General features: G+C 41.7%; 1 non-coding gene across 1 annotated transcript, besides 1 other annotated feature; it reads left to right on the plus strand.

The window, feature by feature from the left end:
* Nucleotides 2,425–2,719: an enhancer, noted in NCBI's record as "tiled region #11936; HepG2 Activating non-DNase unmatched - State 24:Quies". NCBI's record gives its function as "activates a minimal TATA promoter and a strong SV40 promoter by Sharpr-MPRA in HepG2 cells {active_cell/tissue: HepG2}" and the evidence as "EXISTENCE:reporter gene assay evidence [ECO:0000049][PMID:27701403]".
* On the plus strand, nucleotides 2,563–2,636 carry TRN-GTT10-1 (tRNA-Asn (anticodon GTT) 10-1). The gene has a single exon. It is a non-coding gene; the product is annotated as a tRNA-Asn (tRNA).

Below are 19,204 nucleotides of genomic sequence, written 5' to 3' on the forward strand. Positions count from 1 at the left end.
TTCATATTTTAAAATCGCATTTCTATTTCCTTTTTGAGAAACAATCTGCTATAAAAAGCATTGTTCAGAAGTGACAATAACATATCTGATGGTTATATGAAGATCCTTCTAATCTCATCACCAGGAAAATATGTTTCTGCCATCAAAAGCTTCCTGACAGTTCCGTTATGTGATGTACTCTGAATTCTTTGTGGTTATCCCTCAACTCCACTGCACCAGGGAGCTAAGAGAAGATTTTTGTTTTAGTATATCTGGTAGTGAAAGGCACTCAGGGATCAAAGGATGAAAGTGATAAGATGCTTCCTTGGACACAGTCTTAGATGCAGTCACTTCCTCAGAGAATATGGAGAATCCAAAAGCAAAAGAACTTGAATGAATCTTTGCAACCAAGACACCCCAGTAACATCTTTCAGAGGTGAGAGAAGCAGAATCAAATTTTTAAAAATGTCTGAATAATTTAAAAATGATTACCTTGTGCTGTTATACCTACTACAGTTTTTCTGTGAAAGTGAAAAATAAGTGAAATGAGAATGGTTCAATCAAATGTCAGCCATTTATCAAAAGAACCTCAGGGAAACCATAAGCTCCTTTTTCTAGGCTGTTATCTAGAAAGGGAGAGACACCAGGAGAGCTGCACAGTCAGAGCTAACAATAATGCAAGGAAGAAGGAAAAAAATGATCAGAGGGGGCTGTTCTGTCTGACACATAACTATTTCTTTTCCAGGAAGGAAACAGTGCTAACTAGGAAGCCAAATCCAAATTTAGAGATTTAATTAATTTTCCATTTGAAAGTTACAGTTAGGATAATCAGTGTCTACTTGTGGGACACCCTCTCTGCCACCCTAAGCATCAGCACACCTGTGTGTGTAATTGACCTAGAAGGTGGGCTGTTATTCCAACCATAAGATGGATAGAATCTAAAATTTTGGGTATCATCTAGTTCATCATTTTACAGATGCAGGAATCTAAGATGAGAGTCAAGTGGCTTCTCCAAGTCTACGCTGTGGAGAGTGGATACCACTGCTGAAAGGGAAATGTAAGCCCTTCACCTCATCATACTGTAGCATAGGGCTCTTTGCATCAGTAAAACCAGCTATGTGGCTTCTGCAGGGTTCCTATTCAAATATATGTTTACATATAAATCTATATTAGTCTGCCGGGTTGCTGATAGCAAAATACCAACAAACAACACACCAATACCAAAATGTCAACAAATACCAACAACAAACAAAATACCATAGACAAAATGTCTGTTAAACAACACACATTTAGTTCTCACAGTTCTGTAGGTTGGGAAGTCCAAGATAAAGGTGCTGACAGCTTCAGTTCCTGGTAAGGGCTCTCTTCCTGGCTTGCAGTCAGCTGCCTTCTTGCTGTGTCCTCACAGGACATAGAGAGAGCCCTGGTGTATCTCTCTCTCTCTCTTGTTTTTTCTTTCATTTTGAGACAGTCTTGCTCTGTCACCCATGCTGGAGTGCACTGATGAGAACCATAGCTCACTGCAGCCTCAACCTCCCGCCTCAGCCTCCCAAGTAGCTGAGACTATGGGTGTGTGCCACCACACTGGGCTAATTTTTTATTTTTATTTTTATAGAGATGGCGTCTCACCATGTTGCCCAGGCTGGTCTCAAACTCTGGACTCAAGCGATCCTCCTGCTTTGGCCTCCCAAAGTGCTGAGATTACAGGCAAGAGCCACTGCACCTGACTCTTTCTCTTCTTAAAAGGGCACTAATCCCATCACGAGTCTCCCACCTTCATGATCTCTTCTAAATCTAATTATTTCCCAAATGCCCCATCTCCAGATACCATCACGTTGGCAGTTAGGGCTTCAACATATGAATTTGGGAGGGGAGGGAACACAATTCATTCCATTGCTCTTCCTCTGTGTGTATTCGTTGTTGTTGTTGGCCTCCTCCCCCAAGGAAGAAAGCTCCACAGATTTCGTCTGTTTCACTGACTTTAGTATACTCATCAGCCAAAACAGCAGCCACACCTATATTCAATAAACATTTATTGAATGAATGGATTTACTGAGTGCTTGCTCTATGCCATACACTGTCCTAAGCACTTTAGATTAACTTTTAAAATCCTTATAATGGCCTTATAAGCTAGGTACTATTGCTCCCTTCATTTATACATGAGGAAACTCAGACATGGAGGGGTTAAATAGTTGCCCTGGTTTCATAGGAGACAGAGCCAAGGTTGTGAAATAAGGAAGCCTAGCTCCTTAGCTCATTTTCTTTTCTTTTCTTTTTTTTTTTTTTTTGAGGTGGAGTTTTTGCTGTTGTTGCCCAGGCTGGAGTGCAAGGGTGCGATCTCAGCTCATTGCAACCTCCGCCTCTCAGGTTCAAGCAATTCTCCTGCCTCAGCCTCCTAAGTAGCTGGGATTACAGGCATGCACCACCACCCCCAGCTAATTTTGTGTTTTTAGTGGAGGCAGGTTTTCACCATGTTGGTCAGGCTTTGGAGATTACCCAATCATTTTGCAAAAGGCGGATGGTGCTAGCTAGCGTTTAGTGACAGCTTACCCTCTTTTAGAACGAAATCAGGAGCTCAGCCATGTCTCTGTGGCGCAATCGGCTAGCGCGTTTGGCTGTTAACTAAAAGGTTGGCGGTTCGAACCCACCCAGAGGCGTCGCTGATATTTTATAACTCCCACGGTGGTCTGCTCCCTTGAAGACTACATGCCTCACTTCCCCTCCTGTCAACTAGTGGCTGCTTCTCATCCTCCAAGAAGGTCTCTGTTGGAAAGAAATGTAGTTGGAAGGTACAGAAGTTCCTTGGACCAGGGAACAAGATAAATTTTGTGTGATCTGTTCACGGGTTCTGGGTGAAATCTTGCTTCTCTTTGTGCCTTTGGGCTATTGACAAGCTATTTGTACCTCAATATTTTTTCAACTGTAATATGAGGATGGTAATAATACCGCATTTGCAGGATGTGCCTAGATTTAATAATTGCTCGATCAATAATGTTATCAGTAGACTCAAGATTATTATTATCCTCTGCATTATTTTTGATGAAGGCATTTCTTCTTTTGTTTATTCCATCATGTAACCCTTTACATGTTGTTTTTTAAATTAAGTTTGTTCCATGATTTTACGATTACAAATAATGCTGCAGTCATCATTCTTGTACAAATATCTTTTGCTATTTGTACACGGATTTCTATAGGGTAGAGTTCTGGAAGTGCAACTGCTGTATCATAGTGGTTACAGTACACATTTTTTATTTTAATTAATAAGCCCTGTAAATTTGCCTTCCATAGAAGTGGTACCAATTTATATTCCAATTTGTTTTTTCAACTCAGAGAATCCTTTTCTTCATACTCTTGCTAGCACAATAAACTTTCTATACATCTGTCTGATAAATAGAGGGGCTGAGAGCTGTGGCTCACACCTGTAATCCCAGCACTTTGGAAGGCCGAGGTGGGCGGATCACCTGAGGTCAGGAGTTTGAGACCAGCCTGGCCAAAATAGCGAAGCCCCATCTCTACTAAAAACACAAAAATTACCACAGGTGGTGGCCTGTGCCTGTAATCTTAGCTACTCGGGAGGCTGAAGCACAAGAATCACTTGAACCTGGGAAGCAGGGTTGCAGTGAGCCAAGATCACGCCACTGTACTCCAGCCTGGGCCACAGAGCGAGACTCCATCTCACACACACATACATATGAAATAAAATAAAAAATAAAGGGAGTGTTGCCCTCCTGACTTAACTAAGGGGAGGTACAACAGATGACATGGCGCACATGGAGCAGTAGAGTATCTCCTCATCTCTTCAGCTAAACTTCCAAGATATTTTGTACAGCTATAATTTGTTTCTGTGGTGACCAGGTCTGGAGAAGATATTCTGATATTTATTACTCCACTCTTTCCTCTATAAATGGCAAGGGTGAATTAGTATGCTATCTGTATTAGTCAAGGTTCTCCAGAGAAACAGAATCATCCATCTATCATCTATTTTTATTGATTTATTTTAAGGAATTAGCTCACATGATTGTGAAAGTTCAAGGCAGGCAGGCTGGAGACCCAGGGAAGAGTTGTTATTTGAGTCCTAAAATATTCTGTTGGTAGAATTTCCTCTTCTTCCAGGAAGGTCAATCTCATTCCATTCAGGCCTTCAACTGATTGGATGAGGTCCACCCACATGACATGGGGCAACCTGCTCTACTCAAAGTCTACTAATGCAAATGTTACTCTCATCCAAAATACCCTTTCTCAGAAACCTCCAGAATTATATTTGACCACATACCTGGGCACTGTGGTCTAGCCAAGTTAACACATAAAATTAACCATCACACTGTCTCTATATTATTCCTTGACAGTTTTTCTTTTTTCTTGCTATGTCCACAAAGATTTGCCCACCTGAGACATATAATCTTAGCTAATAGAATCCTGCACCTTATGGGCATCCCATGCGGACCTGTAATCTCAGAGCTATTGGCATATGTTCCCTCAGTTCATCTGTTGAATCTCATGAGCAGAAATTGAGCTATTTGGCTTTTAGACACTAAATGTAATTCTTAGACAAGTATTTTTTCTCTCTCTCATTTGTACATTGTCAACCATTTTTTTCCATGATCCACATGGAATTCTGTTTTTGATTTTATGAAATGAACATCTGGGGATAGTGGTTAACAGGGATACATTATCTGTTAGGTGGTAGATGACAGCTTATCTAGTCTGTGAGTCTTTTTGGACTGGCTATTTGTTTGTCCTGAGGTTCTTAGTATTTCCTAGTATTTGAGTCTGCAGTGTTGAGAAGTGGTTCACATCTTATCTATCTAATACTAGATAAAATCTTACGGGTCCAACAAATGTCAATATCTGCAAAAGTGGAATATCTTTTGATCTACTATTGATTCACATTTGATCCACAAGGATGATCTCCATGCACAATGATTTTCCCTTAGGAACTCTGACTTCAATATGTCGTTCTAGCTAAAGGGATCTTGGAACAGAAAGAAAACTGAATTTCTGGCATCCAATATTCTACTTTCTTAGACTAAAGTTCCTAAACGCTATACCCATTAATTTCCCATTCTTCCCTCCCTAGCCCCTGGCACAACCACCATTATTTCCTGTCTCTATGAATTTGACTACTCTAGGTACTTCATATAAGCAGAATTCTATAGTATTTTTTCCTTTTGTGACTGGTTTATTTCATTTTGCATAATATCCTCATGTTCATCTATGTTGTAGCATGTGTCAGAATTTCTTTTCTTTTTTAAGGCTGAATAATATTCCATTGCATGTATTTGCCACATTTTGTTTATTCATTTACCTGTTGTTGGACACTTGGGTTCTTTCCCTTCTTTAGCTATTGTAATACTGCTATTGATGTAGGTGCACAAATATCTCTTTGAATCCTTGCTTTCAGTTCTTTTGAGTATATAGCCAGAAGTAAATTTGTTGGATCATGTGATAATTATTTTTAATATTTTGAGGAACCACCATATGGGTTTCCACAGTGGCTGTACCATTTTATTAGGTTGGTGCAAAAGTAATTGCGATTTTTGCCATTAAAAGTAATGACAAAAACTGCAGTTACTTTTGCACCAACCTAATACATTCCAAACAACAGTGCACAGGGGTTTCAATTTTTCCACATCATCACCAACACTGATAATTTTCTTTCCTTCTTTTTAAAATAATAGCCATCTTGTAGGCCTTACTTTTAATTTCCATTTTGTCCTCGAAATCTTGGAGATTGAGCAAGAAGGAGGGAATGCGCATCTTAGTGAGATCTTCTTAGTTACCACCAAGCCTAATGGCTCAGAGCAAGGGTCTGGATGAGTCCTGGCTCTCACTCTCATAGAGATGATGGGACCTTGGAAAGGTAAGCTCAGCCTTTCAGTGCAATGTTCTCATCTGCAACAAGGGGTTGTAATAATCAACACTATCGGCTGCGCGGGGTGGCTCAGCCTGGAATTCCAGCACTTTGGGAGGCCAAGGTAGGTGGATCACCTGAGATCGGGAGTTTGAGACCAGCCTGACTGACATGGTGAAACCACCCTGCCTCTACTAAAAATGCAATAATTAGCTGGGCATGGTTGTGGGGCCTGTGATCCAGCTGTTCAGGAGGCTGAGGCAGGAGAATCGCTTGAACCCGGGAGGCAGAGGTTGCAGTGAGCTGAGATCACACCACTGCACTCCAGCCTGGATGACAGAGAGAGACTCCATCTCAAACAACAACAACAACAACAACAACAACAACAACAACAACCACCACCAAACAAAAAAATCAACACTATCTTGTAGGGTCGTTATGTGGACTAAATAGGTTACTACACAGTAAAGCACTTAGAAACAATGCCAGTCACATAATAATGCTCTTGAAACAGTTATTATTATTATTACTATTATTATTATGTCTTTGTTTTCATTTCTAACTGTACCAGTGAGAAATTTTAACATTCCCTAAAATAAATTAGAAATATTCAATGGTTTTTTTGACCTCTTCTCCCCATATTAGTGGCCAGGTGTCTGAAAAACTGGTTACTTGAAGTGTCTACTCAAAGTACAGACGTAGAATCCTACAGCAGGATTCTATCCTCCAACAGGATCTCTGTTAGTGCACCAGAGGACTGGATCCAACCTGATCAAATTCTTGGACCTTGGACAGGCCTGATTGTTTAGGTCATGGTAGACAATCTTTGGCACATGATTCTAGCAAGAGCCTTTAATACCCATTCAGACTTACGCAAGTATTACAAGAAAAATGCAAGTATATACCTACCAATGGCCTCTTCTCTTTTTTTTTTGTTTTCTTCAGAAATCAAGGTAGGAAAATTTGATTTACCTGGAATTTGTAGAAGATTTCCTCTTTCAGTTACGATGGAGTTTTGTGGCAAACCAGCACTCCCTTCGAAAAGAAGTAGATAAAATCTGGTTTAAAGGAATTCTGTTTGAAGTCTTTGAAAAGCTAGGACCCACAGGGCCAGCTACAGAAAGCGGGTGGAGAGAGAGAGAGAGAAAGAAGATCATTGGAATGAAACAATTTTTCCCCCTCAGGGTATTTGCTAGTTCTTGGCAAGGGACAAGAGGCTGAGAAGCTGGGGAGAGGGCAGTGGTTAAAAACCAGAGAAAACAGCAGCACTTTAAGTAACCTCATGGGGGTGGGGAGTGGGTAGACATGTGGAGCTGTCCAGGTATTTTGACTTGAAAAGCCAAGATTCTAGAATGAATTGAGATGTGAACTGAACACTTGGTAAAGGTTTTCCCCTCAAGGCATTTGTGAATTCAGCTCTGTGCTGGTGAGAGGCTAGCAGAGAGTGGCTGAAAGCAGTTTTCATTGGGAAGGATGCAAAGGAGACAGAAATCAAAATTCACTACCCTCCAAAAAAATGGCGCCTCTCAAATTGGGAGTCCTAGAGGTCTATAGCCTAGGAATGTGGGCAAACCAGATATAGACTGAGCCTTCCCATGAGTGCAAGCAAAGGTGGGTGGAATGGGAGTTTGGAAGGTTAAAATCGACCTCATATTAAATGAAACCCCTACACGTTGCTACTGCAAGGGAAAGGAAGCAAGTATCGCATTGGGATATATTATTTATTATGTATTAAAAGGTAATACAACATGAGGCTAAATTTATTAGTCAGACTTAAATGATTATTCTCCAGTTTTAGTCACTATACTCTTGAAAGAATGTAGGAAGTGAAAACCTGGAGAGTTCCTAAAAACGAAGAGTAAGAATCACTAGAAGTTAAAAAAAAATTCATTTAGGAAAAGCCACAAGAATTGTTTTTACTGAAATTGTCTTCAAGAAAATAAAAGCTGCTGAGAAAATATTTTGATGTTTTCAAGGAGAGGTATACTTAGGTTATTTTGCTGTGGTTAGAAATTGGTTGACAACATAAGCAAAAGGGTAAAAAAGCTGGCTATTGAGGGGGTGGCCTCCCCTGTTATAGAGACCTCCAGGGTGAAATACGCAGCCTTGCATTGAGTGTGGCTATCAGAAGGCAGGGCTTCCTTGGGTTCTGTAGCTACTTCCACATTCTAATTCTGTGATTGTGACTCAAGAGCTGGCACCCTGAGTCTTCCCCATAGCACTATTGTTGATGTCCCAGTGACATGGGATTTGAGCTCTGGCATCTGAAAATGTGTTCCTGCCTTCATGACTCTCAAAACTTGTGGAAGCAAAATGCTTCCTGACCTCTGAAGGGACATTCCCTGGGAACTTCATAAGAACCTTATCTCAGCTATAAGAAACAAAAATACTCATCCCTTAGCTTAGTTTAAACCCCATTTGTTTTCATTCATTTATTGCCTGTTTTTTCTTCTAAACACCTGTGGGACCTCCCCTTCCTTCTCATAACAGCACCCACCCCGACCCCACCCCAGCACTTGCTGCATCTTTCTTTTACCCAGTGGATTGTTGGGTCCTCATGGCTGAGGAAGTTGTAGGCTTCACTCTACTTCCTGGTAGGCTCTGCTCTTGAGATTCTATCGTCCTACAGGATCTCCACTAATAATCTAACCTCTGTAAGCCATAATTTTGTTTCAATTGCTTTAGGTAGTTTTGGAGAAAAGCCTGGCCATTGTGAAGACATAGACATCTTTCTTCTCTGTCCTTCCTTTCAAAGACGGCTGTAAGAGAGCTCTTCATGAGAAAATGTCCCAGCAGAAGGCTGGGATGCATCAGCCCTCAGAGAAGAAGGGACCTGCTGAGAAGGGAGTGAATGAGCAGAAGCCTCGGGTTGAGGAAGAATTCTCTGTATCCTGCAGTGGGCAAGAGACTTCCCACTATCAGCATTAAGTCATTGCTCGTCAGAGTAGCTTTCAGGGCCTGCAGCCAGCCTCCATACCTTAATTGTAGGGCTTTCTCTTAACACCTTCTTGGAAATTTCTTCAGAGAAAAATCTATAAAAGTTTTATTAGTAATGACTTTATATTATTCAGAGAAATTTGGTTTTATTCTAACTAACATTGCATGTATTCACCAAATATATGGCCTTTGTGGTTACCTGAGCTGGAAATCTTCCAGTCATGTGAGTGGTCTCTCTTCTGGATCCCCAGGAGCATGTAGGAATCTCCTGTTTCTTCATATGTTACTCTGGTGAATGCTGAACTGTCCCAGTTCCCGAGGAGGTAGATTTATACAGAGGCCCCTCCATTCTACTCCATCCTCTATGGAAACTCAGGTCCCTGGCTTCTGGAATGGCAGTTTTGATAAGCTGAATTTTAAAAATAAGCTTGCAGAATTGTCAAATAGTGGCCTGTTGGCTAAATTTGTCAGTTTGTTTTTAATGGCCATTTTCCTATAGCTTTTTGGAAACATTTAAATAATATGGGGTTAATCCATTACGCATTTGCCTGTGAGCGCCAGTTACTGAAATACTAAGTTACTGAAATCACTAATTTGCCTAAGTGGTTGGTGCACAGCTTTGGAAGTGATTCAAATCCTGCTTCATGCTCCATTAGGTCACTGCCCAATATATTCCACTTAAATTTCACTGACCCAGAGAATAATGTTAGTTAGGGCTAAAATAACGCTAGGCCAGGCGCAGTGGCTCACGCCTGTAATCTCAGCACTTTGGGAGGCTGAGGTGGGCAGATCACTTGAGGTCAGGAATTGGAGACAGCCTGGCCAACATGGTGAAACCCCGTCTCTACTAAAAATACAAAAATTAGCTGGGCATGGTGGTGGGCACCTGTAATCCCAGCTACTTGGGAGGCTGAGGCAGGAGAATTGCTTGAACCCGGGAGGTGGAGATTGCAGTGAGCCAAGATAGCACCACTGCACTTCAGCCTGGATGACAGAGCAAGATTCCATCTCAGACAAAACAAAACAAAACAAAACAAAACACCCAAAAAACTCTAGAGTCAGTTAGTCTCATTACCTCATTTCAGAACTGAGAACACTTAGGCCCTAAGAGATAGTCATTTGATCAAAGTTGCATAATAGCCTCTGGCAGAGATAACATTAGAATCCTGTGCTCTCGATTCACAAAGGCTACACTACACCCACTTCATCAAATATATTTTTAAAAATTATACTTCTGTGATCATTCTTTTTTTTAATGGACTTTTTAAGAGCAGCTTTAAGTTCACAGCAAAATTGAGTGGAAAGTAACAGAGAGTTCCCATATGCCCCCTACCCCTGCACGGACACAGCCTCCCTCACTATCAACATCTTGCCCCCGAGTGATAACATTTGGTACAACTGATGAACCTACATTGACTCATCATCACCCAAAGTCCACAGTTTACAGTGGGGTTCATTCTTGGTGGTGTATATTCTATAGGTTTTGACACAAGTATAAATGTATAATGGCATGTATCCACCATTGTAATAAAGAATGACTATTCCCTGCCCTAAAAATTCTCTGTGCTCTGCCTATTCATTCTCCTTTCCCTCCTAACACCTGGCAACCACTGATCTTTTTACTGTCTCCACTGTTTTACCTATTCCATAGTGTCATATAGTCAGAGTCATACAGTATGTAGCTTTTTTAGGTTGGCTTCTTTCACTTACACACTTAAGGTTCTTTCATGTCTTTTCATGGCTTCATAACTCATTTCTTTTTAGTACCAAATAATATTCCATTGACTGCATGTACCAAAATTTATCCATTCACCTACTGAAGGACATCTTGGTTGCTTCCAAGTTTTTGCAGTTATGAATAGAGCTGCTATAAACATCATGTGCAGGTTTTTGTGTGAACTTAAGTTTTCAGCTCGCTTGGGAAAATACTGAGGAGCAGATGGTTAGGTCATTTGGTAAGAGTATGTTTAGTTTCGCAAGAAAATGCCAAACTGTCTTCCAAAGTGGCTGTACTATTTTGCATTCCCACCGGCAAGGAATGAGAATATCTGTTGTTCCACATCCTTACCAGCATTTGGTGTTATCAGTGTTCTGGATTTTGCCATTCTAATAGGTGTAGAGTGGTATCTTGTTGTTTTAATTTGCAATTCCCTAATGACATATGATGTTGAGCATCTTTTCATATTCTTATTTGCCATCATCTTTGGTGAGGTGTCTGTTCAGGGTTTTTTGCCCATTTTTTATTGTGTGGTTCATTTTCTTATTGTTGAGTTTAAGAGTTCTTTGTGTATTTGGCTTAATAGTCCTTTACCAGATATGTCTTTTGCAAATATTTTCTCCCAGTGTGTTGTCTTCTCATTCTCTTGATGTGCCTTTTGCAGAGCAGAAGTTTTTAATTTTAATGAAGTCCAGATTATCAATTATTTCTTTTGTGGATCATGCCTTTTGTGTTATATCTGAAAAGTAATCATATAGCTGGGCTTGGTGGCTCACACCTGTAATCCCAGCACTTTGGAAGGCTGAGGCAAGAGGATCACTTGAGCCCAAGAGTTTGGCTGCAGTGAGCCATAATCACACCATGATCACGCCCAAGGAATGCTTCAGTGAGCCATGATCATGCCCTCCAACAAATAAATAAAATAATTAATTTATTTAGAGACTCTGTCTCTAAATTAAAATTGGTATTGCATTGAATCTTTAGATCAATAAATAAAATAAATAAAAAGTCATCACCAAACCCAAGGTCATCTAGATTTTCAGCTGTTGTTATCTTTTAGGGTTTTTTTTTTTATCATTTTATGTTTTACATTTAGGCCTATGATCCATTTTGAGTAAGTTTTCATGAAGAATGTGAAGTCTGTGTCTAGATTCACTTTTTTTGCATGTGGATGTCCCGCTGTTCCAGCACCATTTTTTGAAAATACTATCTTTTCTCCATTGTATTGCCCTTGTCCCCTTGTCAAAGATCAATCTGCTATATTTTGGAGTCTTCTGGAATCTCTATTCTGTTCCGCTGACTTATTTGTCTATTCTTTCACAAATCTTATACTTTCCTGATTACTGTAGCTTTACAGTAAGTCTTGAAGTCAGGTCATATCAGCCCTCTGTTCCTTTTCAATATTGTGTTGGCCATTCTGGGTCTTTTGCCTCTCTATGTACACCTTAGCATCTGTTAGTTGATATTCACAAAATTTATTTGCTGAGATTTTGATTGGTATTGCATTGAATCTTTAGATCAAGTTGGGAAGAACTGACATCTTGACAATATTTAGTCTTCCTGTCCATGAACACAGAATATCTCTCTGTGTATTTAGTGCTTCTTTGATCTCTCTCAACAGAGTTTTGCAGTTTTCCTCATACAGATCTTGTACATGTTTTGTTAGATTTTACCTTGACATAATCACTTACTAGTTCCAGGAGATTTTTGTTGTCAATTCTTTCAGATTTTCTTTTCTTTTCTTTTTGTTTTTGAGATGGAGTCTCACTGTGTCGCCCAGGTTGGAGTGTAGTGGCTCAATCTCGGCTCACTGCAAGCTCCGCCTCCTGGGTTCAAGCCATTCTCCTGCCTCAGCCTCCTGAGTAGCCTGGCTACTATTTTGTTTTTTTAGTAGAGACGGGGTTTCGCTGTGTTAGCCAGGATGGTCTCGATCTCCTGACCTCATGATCCGCCCACCTCGACCTCCCTAAGTGCTGGAGTTACGGGCATGAGCCACCGCGCCCGGCCTTTTTTTTTTTTTTTTTTTTTTTTTTCGAGTCAGTGTCTCACTTTGTCACTCAGGGTGGAGTGCAGAGTGGCACGATGTCATCTCACTGCAACCTTTGCTTCCTGGATTCAAGCAATTCTCCTTCCTCAGCCTCCCAAGTAGCTGGATTACAAGCGCATGCCACCACGCCCGGCTAATTTTTGTATTTTTTGTAAAGACAGGGTTTCACCATGTTGGAGATTTTCTATAATACAATAACTGCATCATGTGTGAACAAAGACAGTTTTAGTTCATCTTCTCTAATCTGTATACCGTTTATTTCCTTTGCTTATCTTACTGCATTAGCTAGGATTTCCAGTATGATGGTGAAAAGAAGTGGTAAGCGGGGAAATTCTTGCCTTATTGTTGATGTTAGTGAGAAAGCTTCTAGTTTCTAGTATGACATTAGTGTAGAGTTTTTATAGAAGTTCTTTATCAAGTTGAGGAAGGTCTCCTCTATTCCCACTTTGTTGAGAGTTTTTATGATGAATGAGTGTTGAATTTTGTCAAATGCTTTTTCTTCATCTATTAATATGATCAAGTGATTTTTCTTCTCTAGCAAGTGGCAGGGAAAATGACAATCTTAGAAGGGATCTTTCACATAAAGATTGTTTTCATTTCCTTCATTCCTTTTACCATATTCAGGACACTAAACATATGCTAGAATTCAGTGTGTGGCCTCCTTTGGTGATACTCTCAAGTTCCTTCTCCTAAATTGCTATAACCTATCAGTTATTCCTATCTACCTTTACTTCTTTTTTTCTACTTTAGGAAGTATCATTCCTTGATTCAGGATCAGTCTCAAGAGTTAACCCACCTACGGCAGAAGATGAAGCTTGGGAGAGTGGCCTCTGCTCTTCTCATCCAGCATGTCAAGAACACACTAAAGACCTTTGAGGAGCTACTCCAGAGCAATAACATTGACCACTATATGGAGCAGCACTACTGCGAGCAGCTGGCCAAAGGAAGCCAGCTGGCAGAGAGCCTTGCCAGAAAATTCAGCACAGGTAAGTTGGCCGCAGAGCTTAGGAAGATTTTCAGTCTCTCCCAAGGTCCTAAGTTCACAGGATCCCACCCCCATTCACATGTCACTTTTCAACCTGGTGTCCTGCTTTGTAATCACCACCTTAAGACCATCACAGAGTCAGGACTGGCTGGAGAGGAGCTCCAAGAAGAAGGGTTGAGGATGCCATGATGATCACCAGCACCTCCATCCCTCATGGAATATGACTGTTAGGGCAGGAGGCATCCCCAGGGATGATGGTATTCATCTGAAACTAATTGGCAGAAAGACAGAAGGAACAGGGGCAGCTGGTTTTTGTGAAGGGCCCTGAACTGGGAATCCAAAAACCCTACCTCTAGCTTATATGTGTTCCTTACCAGCTCTGGACAGGTTAATATTTATTTTGATTTCTGTTTCTCTACCTAAAAAATTAAGTCAAATAATTCCAGCCCTTGAATGTTGCATGATTGTTCTAGGGATTAAATAAGTAACATTAATCGGCACACTTCAAAAAAATGATAAAGAATCATGCTGACTTTGGCATGGTTCAGGCACTGTGTGTACTAGTACATGGTGGTGAGATAATTAGCTGTTTCAGGAGCATTTTACATGAAATTCCCCCTTGAGAACCCAAGGGCCCATAGTAGCAGAAGGCTTGAGTTCACTGTGCTGTCTCCTGATGGTAGGTGGGACACGGATGTCTATCATCTCCTTGGAGAAGGGAGGAAGTTCTGCATGAAAGCTATGGTGGAACACACAGCCATGGGTTTGGGTGCTGGCCTTGTGCCAGGACTTGGAGGCTTTGGCTGGAGTGGATATGTGTTCCATGATATGTGGGAATAAAGACATTTTTAGCTTTTTGCTGTGACTCAGGGCAAAGCAAGTGGAGATGATGACCTTCATGGTGGGCTCAGGAAAGCCTGCCAGGCAAGCTCTCTAAAGACTCAACCCAAGATCTGAGAAAATTCAGAGTATCCTGGAATCAAGGCAAGCATCAGGTAGTCAAGTCTCTGCTCCCAGATAGACCTCCATGTTTGTTTGCAGTCTGGGAAATGAGACCTGCTTAAAGCATGACTGGCCTTTTTGAATTTTGTTCTCAGATGACTGTACAAGTAAGAAGAATCAAGTAGGACAGGTGTCTTCGACTCTCAGGTAACTCCAAATTTTCAGGGGCTGTCGAAGATGTAATCTGGTGAAGGATCCAGAAGCAAGAGCCAGAAGCTCAAAGAAACAGGAGCATACATGGCCAGTAAAAAACAAATAGCTTATTTATCCATTAAACCATTATGTATCCTTAGGGATAAGGCAGTCTCATTTTTAAAATTTTTTAAAAAATATATTATTCTTTTATTTTCACCAATTAATTCACCAATTTAGTAACATAGAGCTGCTCTAACCTATCTGGGTCTTAGGAGTCTTCTGAACCTCCAGGGATCACCTCTGGTTTCCCTTATTTAAAGACCAGAGTAAGATTATATCTGATTTCTTCAAGGGTGACCCAAGGAGTGCTGGAAGATGTAAAACAGCTACAAATTTTCCTTGCAAACAAAAGTTTATACTGTGTCTCTATACTTAGGGAAGGAGATCTAGAAACTGCAAGACACCAGTGAGGCTACATTGCCTGGGGAATCTGTTTTAAATGGCCTATAGCAAATACTATTTTAAAAATTATGTTCACAGAATGAGTTGAATTCTTTTTTTTTTAACATTTTTAAAATTTTATTTTTGAGATGAGGTCTTGCTCTGTTGCCCAGGCTGGAATGCAGTGGCACGATCACTGCTCACTGCATCCTTGACCTCCTGGGCTCAAGTGATCCTCCTCAGCCTCCTAAATAGTTGGGACTACAGGTGCACACCACCACACCCAGCTCATTTTTTATTTTTATTTTTTGTAGACAGAGGGTCTCACTATGTTTCTCAGTTTGGTCTTGAATTCCTGGACTCAAGCAATTCTCCTGCCTTGGCCTCCCAAATTGCTGGGATTACAGGCATGTACCGCCATACCCATACCTGGAGTTGAACTCTTATGGGTCTCTGGCTGTTTTGTGAAGGAATCATGAGTGTTATTTAAGGGGCCCATTACGGCTTCGTTTTTCCTCAGGATGTTTGTAGCCAATGCACCAGACAACTGTTGCTCTCTCTGTCCCCGCCTTCCCTCCATACTCTATCCTGAAACAGAAATGATTTGTTTGGCTTCTCCTCTGAAGGAATGATCCTCTTGACCTCCCCTTTACATCTCCTGTGAGCCTCCAGATTAGTACAGCTGTGGCATTAGGTGACCTTTATTTTTTCTTCTTTCTTACCCCACTAGTATCTTGAGGAAGATGCATAATATGAGTAAAGTGACAGAAGTCCTAGAGACCAAGTGGGATGCCCGGTCCCAGACTCAGCCCCAGATCTGGTGCAGCAACCACACCCGGTCTACCCCACATCACTCCCTGAGCAGCACGTCTCCACAGCTTGACAAGGAGGAAGTGCATCCTTCAGTGACTGTAGTCAGTGAGTAGCCACATGGCTCCAGTTTTTGGGGCTCATGCATTGTCTAGGCCAAGAGGTGGCATCTTTGCAGCCGGGCCCTGTAGATCCACCGTGATGTACCTGGTCGGGCACAGCTCCAGGACTCAGTGCTGAGCATAAGCCCCAAGGCTTTCAGGTAGCTTTTCTCCATTCCCAGTCTCACATGTCATCAGTCACTAGATCCCCTCTGGCACATACATGGTGTTGGTCTTGGGGGGCATGGGTTGGGAAGGGGAGAAAGGGGGCAAATAGTTCCTCTTCACTGCACACAGTTATGTCATCTTTCAAACTAGGGACATGAGTGTTGCTAACATTGTGCACCTAATCCTGGAATCCCTGGGGTAAACAGCCACAGTTCCTATTTTTTGTTCATCACTAAATCATCTTTATCATTTATGCATTTACAGATCCCATCCATCATCCTAATAAGTTTGCTGTAACACCCTCTAAACTATCAGTGAATGGGGCCATGCTGTGAGGTTCAAGCTGAGTCCATCACCAACCAGCGTGTCCCTCCTGAGAATTTCCCTGAGAGGGTCCTTGGGATAGCCTTGATAGAGACGGGAAGAGGAGATTAAGTTTGAAACCAGACTTTCATTTTTCTCCTGCTCAGTTTTCTCTTTAATTTTCCTCTTGAGAAAAGTGTTTGAAGTTTTAGGCCAGTATGAATCATATCCTAATGTGGACAATACCAAGAAATTATTTTTAGTCCCTGGCTGTATCTGGTGTTTTTTTCTAAATTGGCAATTTTAAGTAATGAGTGAGCCATAATGGTTTTTAGTTGTTGTTGTTGTTTTTGAGACGGAGTTTTGCTGTTGTCGCCCAGACTAGAGTGCAGTGGCACAATCTCAGCTTACTGCAACCTCTGCCTCCCGGGTTCAAGTGATTCTCCTACCTCAGCCTCCCAAGTAGCTGGGATTACAGGTGCTTGCCACCACGCCAGGCTAATTTTTATATTTTTAGTAGAGATGGGGTTTGACCGTGTTGGCCAGGCTGGTCTCAAACTCCTGACCTCAGGTGATCCAACTGCCTCAGCCTCCCAAAGTGCTGGGCTTACAGGCATGAGCCACCATGCCCGGCCCATAATGGGTTTTGATCTGGTACTATTCCTGTTTCTCATTTCACAATGAGGAGCAAAGCGGCAAAATGTTTCCTCTAAGATTATAGCAGCCAAGGAAAGACAGGAACTTCTCATTGATTGAGCACCTATTATGCTCACAATATTGACCACTATACATATATTTCCTCATTTAATTGACACAGTGATCCCCTCAAATAGGTAGTGGTGTTCTGCTTTTATAGTGGAGGACACTGAGGCTCAGCAAAGTTAAGGAACTTACTGAAGACAAAGCAGCTTGGGGTAACATACACTTTGAGTCTACCTGACTCAAAGCTCAGGTTGTGAGCATTTCACTCTGCAGCCTGAGAAGTCAGGGGCTGCGTACAAAGGGTGCTCACTCCTTCTCAGCACCTCTTTTGCTAGGCTTCTGGAGCCAGGGTTTTTCTCATTCCACTTTTTCTGCTCTGTGCACCCAGCAGAGTTCTGGCCTCTGAAGATGGGACAAGACCTTACACATATTACACTTCTATCTAAGAATTTGTAAATAGATGAGCTGCCCTTGATATGTACATCACCTATTCCAAGGGGCCAATGGGACTTTTATGTGCATCCTTGATTCAGTTGCCCAGAGGCACTTGTTTCAACCTCAGCACTGCCCCAAGAGATGGCAGAAGGGCAAGCCCATGCTTCCCTTACCTGCAATCCCTGCCACTGCCTGCAGTGAGGTGTGGCCTCTGGAATGATGCTTCTGGAGAGCACCAGCTTTACTTTTTGCCACAACTGTCTTTCCTGAGGGAGATCGAAGCCCTTCTCTTTCCCACTTGAAGTCACTGTCCTTTCACAGGGGCAACTGTTTATCACCACTTCCTCTTTGGTTTTTGAACCAAAATTTCTAGAACAGTCAACCTGTAGTGCACTGGCATGACAGCTACATTGTGAGGCCAAATTTCCTTCACAAAAGTCTAGTCTCTGTTGCTTTCCATCTGCAGTGTAGGGCATGTTCCCCGTGTGGTATGGCCAGGGAACGTTAAAACACTGATCACTGTTACTGATAAAACTTAGAGCTTCCTATGGCCATGGTTGAGAGTAAACTGATTTTCTGAGTTAAAGGAGGTTTGAAAGGGGGTGGTAATCACATTTTGATTGAGTTCCTACTTTAAGTCAGGCATTTATTAAAGACTTAACATAGTTGTCATTACTCTTTATCTCACAGTGATTCTAATTAGTATCTGATATTTTATAAATTGGAGAAGGAGAGACCTACTGGATACTGATTTAAATATACAGTTCCTAAAAGAACGTGATGTTGTTGAGGGCAAACAGAAACCTCACTCCCACCTGCTCAGAGGAGAAACTTGTCTATTCTTTAGCCCTTGATAATAATCCTTGAAAGGGAAAGACTCTAAAACTTTTCTCTGAATTATGGCCCTGCCACCCCAGCTTGGTTTTTCTCTCAAAGGGAGACAGTAATGAAGGGCCCAGAGGATCTGGCCATGTTCTCATGGCATCATTGAGCTGTAAGATGCCATGTATTTTGTGATTCTACAATCCTCTATGCAAGAGTACACTAGCTATTCTATGGACAGGAGCCAGACAATGTGAGCTGTACATAAGAATTATTTTTGCAGTGTCAAAAGCCATTCTAGGTGGAATCCAAATCACCACTTGCCTTAGACAGACACCCCCTCAGCTTCACTGCAGGTCCAGAGTCAGCCGAGGCCAGAGAGAGAACCACCAGGAGTGGAAGCAACACTCTCTAGGTTCTCTGCACATTGTCCAGAAGTGGAGGCCATTTTCTCCTCCTCCTCCAACAGCCTCAGTGTAGAACAATCCCAGGAAGGAGTAGCTGGTGTGTTTCTGGCAAGGGCATAGAATGTTGAATAAATAGTCACCTGTTTACAGACCAACAAAATGCTTCACCCCTCACTGTCTGAACTCCTAGGATTGGCTGTGAGTCCTGCTATTAGGAGAAACATTTCTGAAGTACCTCCCCAGGATCATTCCAGCATTGGGAATCATAAAGGGAGCTAGGAGAGGGGCCCCATATTTTTCCTGTATGTGCGCTGTGATGCTCAGATATTACAACTAACACTACTGCTTATGTCATAGGCTGA

The sequence above is a fragment of the Homo sapiens genome, chromosome 1 (assembly GCF_000001405.40).
Source record: "Homo sapiens chromosome 1, GRCh38.p14 Primary Assembly".
NCBI lineage: Eukaryota > Metazoa > Chordata > Mammalia > Primates > Hominidae > Homo > Homo sapiens.